The sequence below is a fragment of the Homo sapiens genome, chromosome 17 (genome assembly GCF_000001405.40).
Source record: "Homo sapiens chromosome 17, GRCh38.p14 Primary Assembly".
Lineage (NCBI taxonomy): Eukaryota > Metazoa > Chordata > Mammalia > Primates > Hominidae > Homo > Homo sapiens.
This window is the reverse complement of record NC_000017.11, coordinates 3,677,163-3,694,420: the sequence shown is the minus strand read 5'-3', so window position 1 is coordinate 3,694,420 and position 17,258 is coordinate 3,677,163. Positions and strand designations below refer to the sequence as shown.

Below are 17,258 nucleotides of genomic sequence, written 5' to 3'. Positions count from 1 at the left end.
CAGCCTGGCCAACATGGAGAAACCCTGTTTCTACTAAAAATACACAACAATTAGCTGGGCATGATAGTGGCGCCTGTAATCCCAGCTAATCGGGAGGCTGAGGCAGGAGAATCTGTCTCTATGGATTTGCCTATTCTGGGTATTTCGTATAAATGAAATTGTATAGTATGCGGCCTTTTTTTTTTTTTTTCTGGCTTCTTTCACTTGGTGTCATGTTTTCAAGGTTCACCCATGTTGTGGCATCTATCAGCCCTCCATTCCTCTCTGTGGCTGATACTATCCTGCCGTGTGGGGCTGCCACATTGTGGTCATGCATTCATCAGCTGATGGACATTTGGGTGGTTTTCACACCGCTGAGTGTAGTGGCTCATGCCTGTAACCCCAGCACTTTGGGAGAGGAGACCGCGGTGGCTGGATCACTTGAGGTCAGGAGTTCAAGGCTAGCCTGACCAACGTGGTAAAACCCCGTCTCTACTAAAAATTCAAAAATTGGCTGGGTGTGGTGGCGAGCGCATGTAATCTCAGCTACTCGCACCAGTGCACTCCAGCAGCCTGGGCAGCAGAGCAAGACTGTCTCAAAAAAAAAAAAAGAAGAAGAATGCTTCTGAGAACATTCATGTACAAGTTTTTTGTGAACATGTTTTCAATTTTTCAATTTTTAATTATTATTATTATTATTTTTGAGATGGAGTTTCGCTCTTGTTGCCCAGGCTGGAGTGCAATGGCATGATCTCAGCTCACTACAACCTCTGCCTCCTGGGTTCAAGAGATTCTCCTGCCTCAGCCTCTGGATTAACTGGGATTACAGGCATGGGCCACCATGCCTGGCTAATTTTTGTATTTTTTTAGTAGACACGGAGTTTCACCATGTTGGTCAGGCTGGCCTCGAACTCCTGACCTCAGGTGATCCACCTGCCTTGGCCTCCCAAAGTGCTGGGATGACAGGCGGGAGCCACTGTGCCTGGCCATGTTCTCAATCTCTTGGGAATTTTCTGGCTTATCTGGTAACTCGATCCTTAACCTTTTGAGGAACTGCTAAACTGTTTTCTACCATAACTACCTCATTTTACATCCCTATCAGTGATATACGGGGGTTCTAATTTCTTCACAACCTCATCAACACCTGTTATCTGTAGGGTTTTTAAAAAATGATAGCCATCCTAGTGGAAGTGAAGTGGTGTTTTATTGTGGTTTTGATTTGTATTTCCCTAATGACCAATGGTGTTTGTCATCTTTTCATATGCTTAATTGGGCATTTGTGTATCTCTCTCTCTCTTTTTTTTTTTTTTTTTTGAGAAATGTCTATTCAAATCCTTTGCTCATTTTTAAATTGGATTATTTGGCTTTTTATTGTTAAATTATAAGAGTTTTTTGTATCTTCTGGATACTAAACCCTTACCAGCTACATTATTTCAAATGTTTTCTCCCATTCTGTGGGTTGTCTTTTCACTTTCTTGAGAGTGTCTTTTGATGCATGAACATTTTAAATTTTTATGAAGTCCAACTTACCTATTTTTTCTTTTATTGCTTGCGTTTTTAGTGTCAACAAGTATGGGATTTGTACTCTTATTTCATTTTTTTGTTGTTGTTTTTGAGGCTGGGTCTCACCCTGTCACCTGGGCACAATCATGGCTCACTGCAGCCTCGACCTCCCAGGCTCGAGGGATCCTCCCACCTCAGCCTCCCGAGTAGCTGGGACGACAGGCTGGTGCCACCATGCCTAGATTACTTTTTTGTTTTTCATAGAGATGGGGTCTCACTGTGTTGCCCCGGCTGGTCTCAAACTCCTGGGCTCAAGCGATCCTCCTGCCTTGGTCTCCCAAAGTGCTAGGAGTACAGGCGCGAGCCACCGTGCCTGGCCTGTACTCTTATTTTGTAGAATGCCCCTCAGTTTGGGTTTGTTTGAGGTCTCCTCGTGATTGGTTTCAGGTTAGGCACCATCACAACCCCAGAGGGAGGCGCTGTCACCCCATGTTATGTATGGGAAATTGGCTTGCCTGGGGTCACCAAACCAGTATGTGGCTTCAGCCCAGGCTTGTCCACTTGGGGCCTCTGAGTGGACAGTGGTCTTTGCCTCTTTTATTTATTTATTTATTTATTTTTTGAGACAGAATCTCACTCTGTCGCCCAGGCTGGAGTGCAGTGGTGCGATCTCTGCTTACTGCAAGCTCTGCCTCCCGGGTTCACGCCATTCTCCTGCCTCAGCCTCCTGAGTAGCTGGGACTACAGGCGCCCACCACCACGCCTGGCTAATTTTTTGTATTTTTTTTTTTTTTTTTGAGTAGAGACAGGGTTTCACTGTGTTAGCCAGGATGGTCTCAATCTCCTGACCTTGCGATCTGCCTGCCTCGGATTATAGGCGTGAGCCACTGCGCCCGGCTGGTCTTTGCCTCTTCAGGGCCCCCATCTCTAGGGTTGCTTGTCGCCTCTGCTGCTTGCAGGACTGGGTTTCAGTCAGCAGTGGGAGCTGTGGCCCCTGCCCAGGAGCTGGTGGGACAGGTGGAGCCCTGAGCCTGCTCCACCTCAACTAGGAGTTGCTGTGACTGCTACCCCACCCCAAGGCCTGGGGAAGCTCCCCGAAGCCAGCAGAGTGGCTGATGCCCACGTACCGGCCCCCTTCCCACAGATGGGTGTTCCTGATAAAGAAGGGTTACCAAGACGTCGACACCTCCCTGCAGAGTGCTGTCATCACCAAAGTCAAGGGCGTGGCCTTCACCAACACCTCGGATCTTGGGCAGCGGATCTGGGATGTCGCCGACTACGTCATTCCAGCCCAGGTCTGAGTCCCCACCTAGCACACGGCCAAGGCTGGCAGGGACTGCCTGGTTCGGGTGGGTCACACGGGAAGCTTCTTGGATACGCAGGGACCCCCATCCATCATCTCTCTTGGCCCAAGACAGCTGCCAGGGCTTGCAGAGAGCAACCCTGTCCAGATCCTACCTCCCATGCCAAACCCCTGCCCTCTTTGACTGTGCCGCGGGTGACTGCTCTGTTCTATCTGAGTCTGCTGAGAACAAATGGGACCCAGAGAACTTTCAGGTCATTGTGAGTCAGGTGGGCTGGCACAGAGAACCCCCCTTCTAAGTCACTGCCTCTGGGAATAGCTCTCCAGCCTGTTCACAGTTGGCCAGGGCCAGGGCAGCCTGAGCCCTGCGCCCACTTCTCCCGGATCCTGGGGCAGTTGGGGTTTGTGAGTCTGGAGGAGATCTATCAATGGACATCTACCTGGGGACTGTGGGGTCCATGAGCAGATGGGCAGAGTATACCAAGTTTGTGGCCCCATTATCCCCAAAACCCAGGCAGAGGGACCGCCCTCTTTCAGGTAACGCTGGAAAGGTGGGGTGGTCCCTAAGGGGCAGGAGGAGGTTCCTCAGTGCCTCTCTGGTTCCTTAGGGAGAGAACGTCTTTTTTGTGGTCACCAACCTGATTGTGACCCCCAACCAGCGGCAGAACGTCTGTGCTGAGGTTTGATTTGGCGAGGGGCCCTGGCGTGGGGGTGGGAGAGCCACCGGCAGTGGTTGGGGTCTACTCTCTTCTGAAGCAAGGGTGTCTGTCCACTCCAAGGGTCTCGGGTGGCTGTGTGCACCCGGGTGTGGTTCCTGCATTATATGGGGGAGAAGTAGGTTCTCAGAGTGTGTGTGGGCCAGGCCGAAGAAGAACCCCTATTCTATCTCCTGGAGTGGGACCCGGCTCTGAGCTGGGGGAACCCCCCCATCCAGGTGCCCCTTCTCTCCTGGCAGAATGAAGGCATTCCTGATGGCGCGTGCTCCAAGGACAGCGACTGCCACGCTGGGGAAGCGGTTACAGCTGGAAACGGTGAGGGCCTGGAGCGGCCACGGGCTGAAGGAGGACTCGGAGTGGGAGGCTCCTGGCATTGATCCTGTCCCACCCCTGCAGGAGTGAAGACCGGCCGCTGCCTGCGGAGAGAGAACTTGGCCAGGGGCACCTGTGAGATCTTTGCCTGGTGCCCGTTGGAGACAAGCTCCAGGCCGGAGTGAGTGGCTGCAGCCTCAGGACCCTGAGGGGTTTCCCAGCCCCGTGCGGTGGGTCCCAGCCTGAGGGTGGAGTCCTGCCCACTCTGGGAGCCTCACGCTGAGGGAGGAGTCAGGCTGTCCCAGCGAGGCCCGACGGCCTCCCCAGCATGAGCAAATTAACTGTCCTGGGCAGAGGCTCCAGGGGACCCAAGGAACAGGCCTCACACTGGCCCAGGCCTGGGGGAGGGGCACAGGGGTGGGGCCTCCTGGACAGGCTGTTCTGGGTTGGTTTTCAGGGAGCCATTCCTGAAGGAGGCCGAAGACTTCACCATTTTCATAAAGAACCACATCCGTTTCCCCAAATTCAACTTCTCCAAGTACGTGGGCTTGGCTACTGGGGGCCACGGGTGGGCCTTGGTCGATGAGGGGCCTTGGCTGGCCCTCCGTGGGTCTCTGCCTGGGGGTGTGTGTGCGCGCGTGTGTGCACGTGTGTGCGTGTGTTCGCGTGTGTGCGTGTGTGCGCGTGCATGTGTCTGTGTGCATGTGTGCGTGCGTTTGTGTGTGTGCGTGTGTTCGCGTGTGTGCGTGCGTGCACGCGTGTGTGCGTGTGTGTGTGATGTCTGCATGTGAGTGGGTGATGTCTGCATGTGAATAAACGGTGGGTGGTGCTGGGGCGCCCCTTCCCCTGCTGTAAAGTGGGGTGTTGCTGCGGGGAGCTGTCAGCACTCAGGTTGGTGAGGGACCGAGTGACTCCTGGCCAGGCCGGGAAACATCAAGTCTTACTTCATTTCTCGGCTGCCCATGGCCTCCACCCAGAAGCAATGTGATGGACGTCAAGGACAGATCTTTCCTGAAATCATGCCACTTTGGCCCCAAGAACCACTACTGCCCCATCTTCCGACTGGGCTCCGTGATCCGCTGGGCCGGGAGCGACTTCCAGGATATAGCCCTGGAGGTGGGTGGGGTGCACGCAGGGAGCCCTCCCTGAGGGCCTGGGGGCACTGGGCCTGGCTCTGTGACGAGGAGGGTGTGGACGGGGACTCGTGGGGCGAGGGTGGCCCTGCAAAGTCACCTGCCCCCAGGGACTCAGTGTTTTCAGAACTGGCTGTGGCACACAGGCAGGCCGTGGCAGCGGGCGAGGGTGGCCCTGCAAAGTCACCTGCCCCCAGGGACTCAGTGTTTTCAGAACTGGCTGTGGCACACAGGCAGGCCGTGGCAGCGGGCGAGGGTGGCCCTGCAAAGTCACCTGCCCCCAGGGACTCAGTGTTTTCAGAACTGGCTGTGGCACACAGGCAGGCTGTGGCAGCGCTCAGACCACGGGCAGTCAGTGAGAGCCAGACCTGGCACCTGCTGTGCGGTTCTGAGTCCTTGGGGCACCAGCCGAAGGTGAGGCAGAGGGACCCCCTTTGGCACATGCTGGCTGGAGTGTGAAGTGCCTGTCCAGAGAGGCCTACCCTGTGCGGCTCCCTTCTCCCTGAAGAACGAGGGAGGCAGCCCTGAGGCAGGGACGACGCAGTGTTCTCAGCCGCTCCATGGGGGGACTAAGCCTCCTGGAGGGTGGTCTCGAGGGGCTGACCTCGTGCCTGAGCACCTCCTCCTATTGTCCAGTGCCGGTGAAGGGCTGGCCTGGGATGCTGTCCGTCTCCGGAAAGCTGTGTGTGCTGACCCTCATCTCTCTTTTATCAAGGGTGGCGTGATAGGAATTAATATTGAATGGAACTGTGATCTTGATAAAGCTGCCTCTGAGTGCCACCCTCACTATTCTTTTAGCCGTCTGGACAATAAACTTTCAAAGTCTGTCTCCTCCGGGTACAACTTCAGGTAACCGCTGCCTTGTGCCCACTTGTGACCTGACCATGATCAGTGGCACTCACTCATCTGGGTGCCAGCACTATTGAGGCCCCTTCCTGGGGGTGGGTGTCAGAGCGGGAGGTGCAGGGACAGATGGCCCAGGAGAGGTGTGGACCCCAGCAGAGTGGCCAGCGACTGAAGCTGGGGGTGCCTCTGGGAGAGGAGAGCGCGTGTTCTTGCCTGTTTCTCTCCGTGAAGCCGAGTCTTGCGGCCTCTGCCGCATCCTTTCCATCCGCGCTTTGGCGACCCAAGGGTTGCTCAGAGTAGGGTGGGGAAGCCCTTGCTCCTCAGGGAATGTCTGGCAGGGATTTCAAATAGCTGGATGCCTCTTTGTTTTTGGCTCAGTGAGAAGGTCTGCAAGCCACTCCTGGGGCTGCTGAGAGTCAGGGTTCCGGGAGTCCTTCTAAGTCCCCAGAGCAGCCACATCAGTGCTGCCTAAAGAGGGAAGGCCAGGCAGGCTGAGGCCTCCCCTGGGCCCTGTCTCCCTCAGATTTGCCAGATATTACCGAGACGCAGCCGGGGTGGAGTTCCGCACCCTGATGAAAGCCTACGGGATCCGCTTTGACGTGATGGTGAACGGCAAGGTGCGTGTGCCTTCTCCTGTTCTGAGGCTGGGCGGGGGGCGGGGGCTGGGAGGGGGACGTTGGGAGGGTCCCTGGGGGCCCAGCTGTGTGTTCTCCTGTTCTGAGGCTGGGCGGGGGGCGGGGGACGTTGGGAGGGTCCCTGGGGGCCCAGCTGTGTGTTCTCCTGTTCTGAGGCTGGGCGGGGGGCGGGGGACGTTGGGAGGGTCCCTGGGGGCCCAGCTGTGTGTTCTCCTGTTCTCAGGCTGGGAGGGGGACGTTGGGAGGGTCCCTGGGGGTCCCGCTGTGCGTTCTCCTGTTCTGAGGCTGGGCGGGGGGCGGGGGACGTTGGGAGGGTCCCTGGGGGTCCCGCTGTGTGTTCTCCTGTTCTGAGGCTGGGCGGGGGGCGGGGGACGTTGGGAGGGTCCCTGGGGGCCCAGCTGTGTGTTCTCCTGTTCTCAGGCTGGGAGGGGGACGTTGGGAGGGTCCCTGGGGGCCCAGCTGTGTGTTCTCCTGTTCTGAGGCTGGGCGGGGGGCGGGGGACGTTGGGAGGGTCCCTGGGGGCCCAGCTGTGTGTTCTCCTGTTCTGAGGCTGGGCGGGGGGCGGGGGACGTTGGGAGGGTCCCTGGGGGCCCAGCTGTGTGTTCTCCTGTTCTCAGGCTGGGAGGGGGACGTTGGGAGGGTCCCTGGGGGTCCCGCTGTGCGTTCTCCTGTTCTGAGGCTGGGCGGGGGGCGGGGGACGTTGGGAGGGTCCCTGGGGGTCCCGCTGTGTGTTCTCCTGTTCTGAGGCTGGGCGGGGGGCGGGGGACGTTGGGAGGGTCCCTGGGGGCCCAGCTGTGTGTTCTCCTGTTCTCAGGCTGGGAGGGGGACGTTGGGAGGGTCCCTGGGGGCCCAGCTGTGTGTTCTCCTGTTCTGAGGCTGGGCGGGGGGCGGGGGACGTTGGGAGGGTCCCTGGGGGCCCAGCTGTGTGTTCTCCTGTTCTCAGGCTGGGAGGGGGACGTTGGGAGGGTCCCTGGGGGCCCAGCTGTGCGTTCTCCTGTTCTGAGGCTGGGCGGGGGGCGGGGGACGTTGGGAGGGTCCCTGGGGGCCCCGCTGTGTGTTCTCCTGTTCTGAGGCTGGGCGGGGGGCGGGGGACGTTGGGAGGGTCCCTGGGGGCCCCGCTGTGCGTTCTCCTGTTCTGAGGCTGGGCGGGGGGCGGGGGACGTTGGGAGGGTCCCTGGGGGCCCCGCTGTGCGTTCTCCTGTTCTGAGGCTGGGCGGGGGGCGGGGGACGTTGGGAGGGTCCCTGGGGGCCCAGCTGTGTGTTCTCCTGTTCTCAGGCTGGGAGGGGGACGTTGGGAGGGTCCCTGGGGGCCCAGCTGTGCGTTCTCCTGTTCTGAGGCTGGGCGGGGGGCGGGGGACGTTGGGAGGGTCCCTGGGGGCCCCGCTGTGTGTTCTCCTGTTCTGAGGCTGGGCGGGGGGCGGGGGACGTTGGGAGGGTCCCTGGGGGCCCCGCTGTGCGTTCTCCTGTTCTGAGGCTGGGCGGGGGGCGGGGGACGTTGGGAGGGTCCCTGGGGGCCCCGCTGTGCGTTCTCCTGTTCTGAGGCTGGGCGGGGGGCGGGGGACGTTGGGAGGGTCCCTGGGGGCCCCGCTGTGCGTTCTCCTGTTCTGAGGCTGGGCGGGGGGCGGGGGACGTTGGGAGGGTCCCTGGGGGCCCCGCTGTGCGTTCTCCTGTTCTCAGGCTGGGAGGGGGACGTTGGGAGGGTCCCTGGGGGCCCCGCTGTGTGTTCTCCTGTTCTGAGGCTGGGCGGGGGGCGGGGGACGTTGGGAGGGTCCCTGGGGGCCCCGCTGTGCGTTCTCCTGTTCTCAGGCTGGGAGGGGGACGTTGGGAGGGTCCCTGGGGGCCCCGCTGTGCGTTCTCCTGTTCTGAGGCTGGGCGGGGGGCGGGGGACGTTGGGAGGGTCCCTGGGGGCCCCGCTGTGCGTTCTCCTGTTCTGAGGCTGGGCGGGGGGCGGGGGACGTTGGGAGGGTCCCTGGGGGCCCCGCTGTGCGTTCTCCTGTTCTCAGGCTGGGAGGGGGACGTTGGGAGGGTCCCTGGGGGCCCCGCTGTGTGTTCTCCTGTTCTCAGGCTGGGCGGGGGGCGGGGGACGTTGGGAGGGTCCCTGGGGGCCCCGCTGTGCGTTCTCCTGTTCTGAGGCTGGGCGGGGGGGCGGGGGACGTTGGGAGGGTCCCTGGGGGCCCCGCTGTGTGTTCTCCTGTTCTCAGGCTGGGCGGGGGGCGGGGGACGTTGGGAGGGTCCCTGGGGGCCCCGCTGTGCGTTCTCCTGTTCTCAGGCTGGGAGGGGGACGTTGGGAGGGTCCCTGGGGGCCCCGCTGTGCGTTCTCCTGTTCTCAGGCTGGGAGGGGGACGCTGGGAGGGTCCCTGGGGGCCCCGCTGTCCAACCTGCCTCGCTCACTGGCCTTGTCTCTATCTTCCAGGCAGGGAAGTTCAGCATCATTCCCACCATCATCAACGTGGGCTCTGGGGTGGCGCTCATGGGTGCTGGGAGTACCTCCCCTCCCTCCCCGCGTCCCACCCTCTCCCCGGCGGCCGCACTGGCAGGGAGGGGGAGGCTGCTGTTCAGGAGGACCGTGTCCCAGTGCCCCCAGAAAGAACCAGAGCTGGCAAGATCAGAATAGGCGTGGGAAAAGAGGGCTTTCTGGGATTTCACGCTCTGCCAGCTGTCCTCAGGTAGCAGTGACAGCCCGAGTCTCTTTCCAGAGCCAGGGAGGCATGTGCTGGTAGCTCTGCAGCTGTGCATGGGTTTAGGTCAGTCCCCAGCCGAGGCGTGGCTGGGATATCCCTGGGATCCCAGGTGAGTCCCTGAACTTCTAAAGTCTCTATCTCTACTTCTGCTAAAAGAGGGCAGGATTAGGCCGGGCGCAGTGACTCACACCTGTAATCCCAGTGCTTTGGGAGGGTGAGGTGGCGGATCACCTGAGGTTGTGAGTTCGAGACCAGCCTGACCAACATGGAGAAACCCTGCCTCTACTAAAAATACAAAAATTAGCCAGGTGTGGTGGCACATGCTTGTAATCCCAGCTGCTCAGGAGGCTGAGGCAGGAGAATCGCTTGAACCCGGGAGGAGGAGGTTGCGGTGAGCCCAGATCACACAACTGCACCCCAGCCTGGACAACAAGAGCAAAACTCCATCTCCAAAAAAAAAAAAAAAAAAAAAAAAAAGGGGGCAGGATTAGGCTGCAGACAGTTTCTTAGCCTGGGTGCTGCTGACTTTTTGGGTGGGAGAATTCTGTGTTGTGGTCTTACACACATCCTTGGACATGCCCTTAAACATTCCACAATGCACAGAGGGCTGTGCTGGGTGTCGTAGGAGGTTTTTGTTTGTTTTCTATTTCATATTTCACACTTTTCTGGTCGATACTATATTTTCCCAGACCCTGAGGATGTTGATTTCAGAGACAGGGTTTTTGCTCTGTTGCCCAGGCTGGAGTGCAGTGGCATGATCATGGCTCACTGCAGTCTTGAACTCCTGGGCTCAAGCGATCCTCCCACCTCAGCCTCCCCACTAGCCAGGGCTGCAGGTGCACCACCACCTGTGGCTAATTTTTAAATTTTTTGTAGAAATGGGGTCTCACTATGTTGGCCAGGCTGATCTTGAACCCCTGGGCTCAGGCAATCCTCCGGCATTGGCCTCCCCAAGTGCTGGGATTATGGGCGTGAGCCACCGCGCCCAGCCCATTGTAGGATGTTTAAGAGCATTCCCGGTTTCTACCCACTAGATGTTAGGGGCACCCTCCCCTGCAGTTGTGATGGAGCAAAATCCCAGCTGGCTGAGAACCACCCGACTGAAAGGCTGAGAGGCAGGGAAGGCAGCCCTGTGACTCTTCCTTAGAGGTGGCCCTTCAGTGGGGCCGGGAGCGGCTCACAGGGGAGGAGACACAGGGACTGAGGGCAGGGAAAGGCGTCCTGAGTCTACACTGCCCCGTGGTCCTTCTGGAGTTTTTGAGAGCCATGGGAGTGGTCAGTGCCCATCCCGGCAGGTCCCTTTCCCAGGTTTCTGGCAGCCTCTTCCCTCATTCCTCTCCCTGTGCACACAAGACAGCCCCACTGGAGGAGTCCATTGGGACCCAGGGGTGACTTTTGTTAAAACCTGGAAAATTGTGTCCCATACCAGGACCACGTTCCTGGGAGGGGGTCAAGAAAAGTGAGCTCCACATGGATCCCTACCTGCAGACAGTCACTGGGAGGGTCCTGGATGTTTGCGCCTGTTACTTTCTTACAGAAGGCCCACCTTCAGCTATCACTTTTCTTTTTTTTTTTTTTTTTTTGAGACGGAGTCTCACTCTGTCGCCCAGGCTGGAGTGCAATGGCATGATCTTGGCTCACTGCAGCCTCTGCCTCCCAGGCTCAAGCAATTCTTCTGCCTCAGCCTCCTGAGTAGCTGGGATTACAGGCGTGCGCCACCGCGCCCGGTTAATTTTCGTATTTTTGTAGAGACAGGGTTTCACCATGTTGGCCAGGCTGGTCTCCAACTCCTGACCTCAGGTGATCCGCCCACCTCGGCCTCCCAGTGCTGGGATCACAGGCGTGAGCCACTGCGCCCAGCCCATTCATCACTTTCTTGTGATGTGGGTAAAATCAGAGCACCCTCTGGGGACAGACCTGTGAACTGGAAGTAATGGCGCAGGAAGAGGTGGTGGTCAAGGTTAGGTTTGGGGTTGGTCTCTGGGGAGCAGCGAATTGGTAAGCAACATTTTTGGCATCTAGGGGATGGATGTGCAGCACCCAGGGTCAGGGGACCAAGATTCCTTGTTGGCCCCTCCACCAACCCTTCCCACCTCCACTCTCCTCTATCATTCAGGCCCCAACCCTGCCCTGTGCTGTGGGTGGAGTCTCCCTCTGCTGGAGGAGAGGGGCAATTGCATCGCTCTGGTCCGTAGGGCACGTTTTGGGTGTGAGGGGCTGAGCTGGGGTCGTCCACCTCATCATCTTCCTTTTTTGTTTGTTTTTGCTTTTGTTTTTGTCTCTTTTGAGATGGAGTTTTGCTCTTGTTGCCCAGGCTGGAGTGCAGTGGTGCGATCTTGGCTCACTGCAACCTCCACCTCCCGAGTTCAGGCGATTTTCCTGCCTCAGCGTCCTGAGTAGCTGGGATTACAGACACCCGCCACCACGCCCAGCTAATTTTTGTATTTTTTAGTAGAGACAGGGTTTCACCATGTTGGCCAGGCTGGTCTCGAACTCCTGGCCTCAGGTGATCCGCCTGACTCGGCTTCCCAAAGTGCTGGGATTACAGGCGTGAGCCACTGCACCTGGCACCCATCATCTTTCTTTGACTAGCACCATAGCGTCCTTGTTGGTTAGAACCCTTCCAACCTATCTCACACTGACTACCACAGGGATCTTTCTAAATGCCAAAATTCGGGCTGTGGTGCCTCCGCCTCACCTAAAGGATGAGGACCAATGCCTCGGAAACATTCTAAGAAGCCTAACAGGCCAGTCCCCATCCCCTTCTCCAGAAGCGCATCTCCCTCTTCCCGCACAGGCCCTGCGGCATTTCCCAGATGTGACAGGCTTGTTCCTCCCTCCGTAATGTCCTTCCACCTCTTTGTCTTGTATAAACTCCTCTTTAGTCCTTAAGGACTGAATAGGGACCCTCCCCAGGCTGAGTGAAGTCCTATGTGGGTCGTCATCGACACGCCTGTCTCCTGCACCAGAGGGAGAGTCCCCAGGAGGTCTCTCTTGTCCAGATCCTCTCCGTACTTCGGTGCAGACACTGGCACGTGCTGGGTGCCCAGCAAATGTGTTGAAGGAACGATTGGATGGGGTCCGGGTGGTGCGGGGTCGGGGAGTGCCTGGCCTGTGGGATCGGGGGAGCTCCAGTCCAGCTTGAGCTCCACCATGGACCAGCTCTGTGGTGTCGGACAAGGGTGCCCCTTGCTGAGCCCAGTTTCCTCATCTGTTAAATGGGGACAGTGATGCCACCTTTAGGGGCTGTTGCAGGATGGAAGGGGCAAAGTGCCCTAAATGAACAGTGCTCTCAGAGGTCTAGGATTCTGAATCAGGAACCCCTGTTTTGCAGGGTGCTTTCTTCTGCGACCTGGTACTCATCTACCTCATCAAAAAGAGAGAGTTTTACCGTGACAAGAAGTACGAGGAAGTGAGGTCAGTTCCGCTTCCAGGCCGGCGGCCCGAGGGCAGCCCTGTGGAGCACCCCCGTGGCTTCGAGCCTTTGCCCTGATGTGATATTGATGGCTGGGGTGGGAGGCAGGGGCTGGAGGGCCCGGGGAGGAGAAGTGTTCTGAGTACATGCTCTACAGAACCGGATTCGGCCTCGGCAGCAGTGGGAGGAGAGGGCGCTGTGGGCCACAGGGCGGGAGACGGAGTTCACAGGCTCCGCCTGATTCTGGACAAGTCCCAGGCCTCCCCGGGCCTCGGTTTCTCTATCTGGGAGATGAGAGAGTTGGTTTACCAATCGAGTGGTGTCTGCAGCACTTCTGTTTTGGGATTCTTGGACTTGGTGGTCCTGGTGCGCCGGGGCTGAGGGAAGCTGGAGTAGTAAAGGAAAGAAAAGCGGATATTTTCTTCCATGCAGAGGCTGTTTCCGGAGTTTCCTGGGCCCTGGGTTCGGTGGGGTGTGCGTGTTCACAGCGGCAGAGCACAGCGTGGGTGGGGAACCCTGATGACTGTGGGAGGGCGGGAAGGGGAAGGGGCTGTGGCTTCGGCCTTTGGGGAAGGCCTTCTGGAGAAGCAGGGATCAGAATGGGAATTGGGACAGACACCTTAGTACTCCCTCAGCACCCCCACAGCCTGGGACAGTGGGTGCAGGGTCTGCCTGGGTCATTCGCCTTACTGCACTCCAGCTATGGCCTGAACCCCAGCCCTGGGTTATAGCCGTGCGCCCTGACCCTGGCCACAGGCTGAACCCCAACCACAGTCCTGACTGTGCTGCTGAAGGAAGCAGGGTAGAGGAAGCCGGGTGGAGGACGCTGGGTGGAGGATGCAGGGTGGAGGACGCTGGGTGGAGGACGCAGGGTGGAGGATGCAGGGTGGAGGATGCAGGGTGGAGGACACTGGGTGGAGGATGCAGGGTGGAGGACGCTGGGTGGAGGACGCAGGGTGGAGGATGCAGGGTGGAGGATGCAGGGTGGAGGACGCTGGGTGGAGGATGCAGGGTGGAGGACACTGGGTGGAGGACTCAGGGTGGAGGATGCAGGGTGGAGGACGCTGGGTGGAGGATGCAGGGTGGAGGATGCAGGGTGGAGGATGCAGGGTGGAGGACACTGGGTGGAGGATGCAGGGTGGAGGACGCTGGGTGGAGGACGCAGGGTGGAGGATGCAGGGTGGAGGATGCAGGGTGGAGGACCCAGGATGGAGGAAGCAGGGTGGTGGCCTGCAGGGTGGAGGACCCAGGATGGAGGAAGCAGGGTGGTGGCCTGCAGGGTGGAGGACCCAGGATGGAGGAAGCAGGGTAGAGGAAGCCGGGTGGAGGAAGCAGGGTGGAGGACGCCGGGTGGAGGACGCTGGGTGGAGGACGCAGGGTGGAGGATGCAGGGTGGAGGACACTGGGTGGAGGATGCAGGGTGGAGGACACTGGGTGGAGGACTCAGGGTGGAGGATGCAGGGTGGAGGATGCAGGGTGGAGGACGCTGGGTGGAGGATGCAGGGTGGAGGATGCAGGGTGGAGGACGCAGGGTGGAGGACACTGGGTGGAGGACGCAGGGTGGAGGATGCAGGGTGGAGGATGCAGGGTGGAGGACACTGGGTGGAGGATGCAGGGTGGAGGACACTGGGTGGAGGATGCAGGGTGGAGGACGCTGGGTGGAGGACGCAGGGTGGAGGATGCAGGGTGGAGGATGCAGGGTGGAGGACGCAGGGTGGAGGATGCAGGGTGGAGGACACCGGATGGAGGACTCAGGGTGGAGGATGCAGGGTGGAGGATGCAGGGTGGAGGACGCTGGGTGGAGGACGTAGGATGGAGGAAGCCAGGTGGAGGATGCAGGGTGGAGGATGTAGGGTGGAGGGAGCTGGGTGGAGGACTCAGGGTGGAGGACGCCACGTGGAGGAAGCAGGGTGGAGGACTCAGGGTGGAGAGAGCAGGGTGGAGGATGCAGGGTGGAGGGAGCCGCATGGAGGAAGCAGGGTGGAGGACACCGGCTGGAGGAAGCAGGGTGGCGGCCTGCAGGGCGAGGGATTCTTCAAGGCCCACTCCGCCCGTCTAGGAGGGGAGGCACCCTGCAGGGCCGTCCCAGGTGAACAGCTTGTATCTTGTCCAGGGGCCTAGAAGACAGTTCCCAGGAGGCCGAGGACGAGGCATCGGGGCTGGGGCTATCTGAGCAGCTCACATCTGGGCCAGGGCTGCTGGGGATGCCGGAGCAGCAGGAGCTGCAGGAGCCACCCGAGGCGAAGCGTGGAAGCAGCAGTCAGAAGGGGAACGGATCTGTGTGCCCACAGCTCCTGGAGCCCCACAGGTGAGGCCACTGCTAGGCAGAGAGCCCGACAGCTGGGTCCTGCAGAGAGGGGTCCCCAGTTGGGGCTTCTCATGCCTGGCAGCTCCAGCGGACCCCTCTGCTCTGGTGTGAGCTGGCCACAAGGCAGGACATCTAGGAACTGGGAGAGCCTCTGTGGGAAGGGGCTGGTGCTTTACCCCGCAAGGTCCCCCTTAGCTCCCGAGACCCTGGATGGCCATGGGTGCCTGCTGTGCCATGCCGGCGCTCAGATGATAACAGCGCGCTGCTCCACAGCACTGACTCTCTGCCTGGAACCCCTCTGTACTCTCCGTATTTGTTAACTCATGTAAGCAACTGAATCAGATAGACACCGATCTTCCCCATTTTACAAATGAGGAAGCTGAGGCACAGAAAGGCTCGGTAATTTGCTCAAGTCACACAGCCGGTGAATGGCAGCGCTGAGATTTGAATCCCGGCAGTGTCTGTAGGATGAGGTTCTCCTGAGTTACTCTGCCTTTGCCGAACGTCTCTGTGCTCAGATGACCCCCCCTCAGCCCCTCTTCTGTGTGCGATTCTGGGGCTGCCCCGGCCTCAGGAGGGTGCTGGCCGTGCTGCCAGGGGGGTCCTTGGGCCGCGATTCCTGGGGGCGCTGGCTTCTCTGCAGACGAGGCTCAGCCTGCGTGGGGAGGGCGTCTGGCTGGGTGGGGGACCTGTCTCGGGCCTGCTCTGCGTCTGCCTTGCAGAGTACCTGTGCGGTGAGCAGGTGCCTGGCCCTTTCTGTGCCTTGTTTTCCCTTTTTTCCCCTCCCAGTGGGGGCTGGACACCTCCTGCTGTCAGACTGGGGTTCTGTGACTCTCTTGCAAACCACACCCCAGGTACTCACTGACCTTGGTGGCCTTTCTCCTGGCCCAGCTTTCATTCCTTGCTGACTCAGGAATTGGCAGCGTTCAGCTGGGAGCTGGGCCTGGGCAGGGAAGGAGCAAGAAATAGACTGGGCTGGAGAAGAGTGAGGAGAGAGAGAGGCAGGGGCTGCAGCAGTGGGGCAAGGAGGCTGGAGGCTAGGGGTCCGTATGGGGTAGACCCAGAGCCTGGCAGCCCTCCTGTGCTCCCTGAGCTGACTCTTACTTCCTGGGTGCTCACTTGAGCTCCCATTCTGAGCAAGCGGGAAGCCCGACGGCCTGGCTTGTCTTGGCTGAGCCTCGCTGAGGCTTGTGGGAGGCTGTGGACTCACAGGCCCACGCTCCAGCTGCCACCGCAATTGCTGCTACTCCTTGCCGGGGCAACTCCAGAGGCTTCTGCCTGAGCATCTATGCGTGCTGGGCTTCCGCAGGAACCCTGGCAGGCTGTGCTCTCTCTGAATGCTCTGCCTGCCTGCAGTGCTGCCAGGAGCGTTGCTGCCTCTGGTGAGGCTGGCCCACCCACCGGCTCCCGACAGTCCTCTCTGCCCTGTGCGCCCCCTCCCGCCCACACACAGGTCTGGCCATTTGCAGAATGCACAGGTGAATTTGGAGCAGCTGCAGACAGTGGAGATGTAGCCAGGGCTGCTGGCTACCAGCAGTGTCGCTGAAAACTTTGGGGCCAGAACAACCCGCAGCTCTGAACTGGGTAGAGGAGTCTGTGCCTGCATGAGACAGGGGCTTCCAGGCACAGCCATCTCTCCTGAACTTTGGGATCTTGCTGCAAGCTTTTTGCTGAGTGAGGAGGGGAGCCTCCCAATGGTCAGAGGGGCTCGGACCTAGAAGAGGAGTCCCTGGAGCAGGTGTCCAGGGAAAGGGACAGGCCAGGGTGCTGAGCGGAAGTGGAGTGTTTGGATTTTCCCTCAACCTGGCTGCACCTTCACTCATTCATATGAGCTGTAAACATGTATTGACGCATGCTGTGTGCTGGGCCCACCAAGAGGTGCTTAAATGAGATGCTGACCTAACCTCAGGGAGAGGGGCCCGCGTGTAATTCCTCCAAAGCCAACAGAGACATCACAGCCAGGCCCAGCCACTCCAGCTGGCCTTCCTCTAGCCTCTAGCAGGGTTTCCGAAATCCCTGCCGAGAATGATGGTTGCTCAGAGAAAGCTCTTGGACAACACCCAAGGGGACATTTGGGCTTGCCCCAAGGATAAAATTTAAAGGTGGCCATGGAGGCAACCAGGAAAGGACTGGAGCAGTCAGGAGGCAGCTGGCTCTTAGTGGGGAAGCCAGCTCCTGGGGAGTCTAGGTAAGATGGGGAAGGGGAGGCAAGAGGCCTCTGCTCCATCTGACTCCACCAGCCTCGGGACGCCCGGGGAATATGGACCTGCCCAGATGGGAGATACAGTCGCCTTGACCCTGCCGAGCTCCTGCCCTCCCCACCCCTCCTCAGAGGCTGGGCCTGAAGTGCTAATGAGATCAAGGATGGCGCCACTCAGCAGGTGTAAACGGGCTGAGTTAGGGAGGCCCTCATTCCCCTCCCTCCGT

General features: G+C 59.4%; 1 protein-coding gene and 1 long non-coding RNA gene across 9 annotated transcripts in view, besides 3 other annotated features; both read left to right on the top strand.

Annotated features, from left to right (window-relative positions):
• Nucleotides 1-17,258, top strand: part of P2RX5-TAX1BP3 (P2RX5-TAX1BP3 readthrough (NMD candidate)) — a 33,512-nt gene that overhangs the window by 1,984 nt on the left and 14,270 nt on the right. Inside the window, exons 2-11 of the long non-coding RNA NR_037928.1 lie at nt 2,627-2,777; nt 3,394-3,465; nt 3,741-3,816; nt 3,898-3,994; nt 4,271-4,351; nt 4,791-4,929; nt 5,662-5,795; nt 6,316-6,409; nt 12,443-12,525; nt 14,637-14,831. This is a non-coding gene — a long non-coding RNA (P2RX5-TAX1BP3 readthrough (NMD candidate)). The remainder of the gene's footprint in view (nt 1-2,626; nt 2,778-3,393; nt 3,466-3,740; nt 3,817-3,897; nt 3,995-4,270; nt 4,352-4,790; nt 4,930-5,661; nt 5,796-6,315; nt 6,410-12,442; nt 12,526-14,636; nt 14,832-17,258) is intronic.
• P2RX5 (purinergic receptor P2X 5) overlaps nt 1-17,258 on the top strand; it is a 50,609-nt gene that overhangs the window by 29,415 nt on the left and 3,936 nt on the right. For 4 of the 8 annotated variants that reach the window (NM_001425082.1, NM_001425084.1, NM_001425083.1 and 1 more), the window contains 10 exons: nt 2,627-2,777; nt 3,394-3,465; nt 3,741-3,816; nt 3,898-3,994; nt 4,271-4,351; nt 4,791-4,929; nt 5,662-5,795; nt 6,316-6,409; nt 12,443-12,525; nt 14,637-14,831. In NM_001425082.1, the coding sequence (NP_001412011.1) occupies nt 4,801-4,929; nt 5,662-5,795; nt 6,316-6,409; nt 12,443-12,525; nt 14,637-14,831 (635 nt within the window). In that variant the 5' untranslated portion in view covers nt 2,627-2,777; nt 3,394-3,465; nt 3,741-3,816; ... (1 more) ...; nt 4,271-4,351; nt 4,791-4,800. The remainder of the gene's footprint in view (nt 1-2,626; nt 2,778-3,393; nt 3,466-3,740; nt 3,817-3,897; nt 3,995-4,270; nt 4,352-4,790; nt 4,930-5,661; nt 5,796-6,315; nt 6,410-12,442; nt 12,526-14,636; nt 14,832-17,258) is intronic. The other 4 variants (NM_001425085.1, NM_001204520.2, NM_001204519.2 and 1 more) reach the window with 3 other exon arrangements.
• Nucleotides 166-215: an enhancer, noted in NCBI's record as "active region_11513". NCBI's record gives its function as "activates an Ori minimal core promoter by ATAC-STARR-seq in GM12878 lymphoblastoid cells {active_cell/tissue: GM12878}" and the evidence as "EXISTENCE:reporter gene assay evidence [ECO:0000049][PMID:35858748]".
• Nucleotides 616-665: an enhancer, noted in NCBI's record as "active region_11512". NCBI's record gives its function as "activates an Ori minimal core promoter by ATAC-STARR-seq in GM12878 lymphoblastoid cells {active_cell/tissue: GM12878}" and the evidence as "EXISTENCE:reporter gene assay evidence [ECO:0000049][PMID:35858748]".
• Nucleotides 4,905-5,813: an enhancer, noted in NCBI's record as "H3K4me1 hESC enhancer chr17:3591902-3592810 (GRCh37/hg19 assembly coordinates)". NCBI's record gives its function as "activates a minimal SCP1, AML or CMV promoter by ChIP-STARR-seq in primed H9 embryonic stem cells {active_cell/tissue: H9 hESC(primed)}" and the evidence as "EXISTENCE:reporter gene assay evidence [ECO:0000049][PMID:30033119]".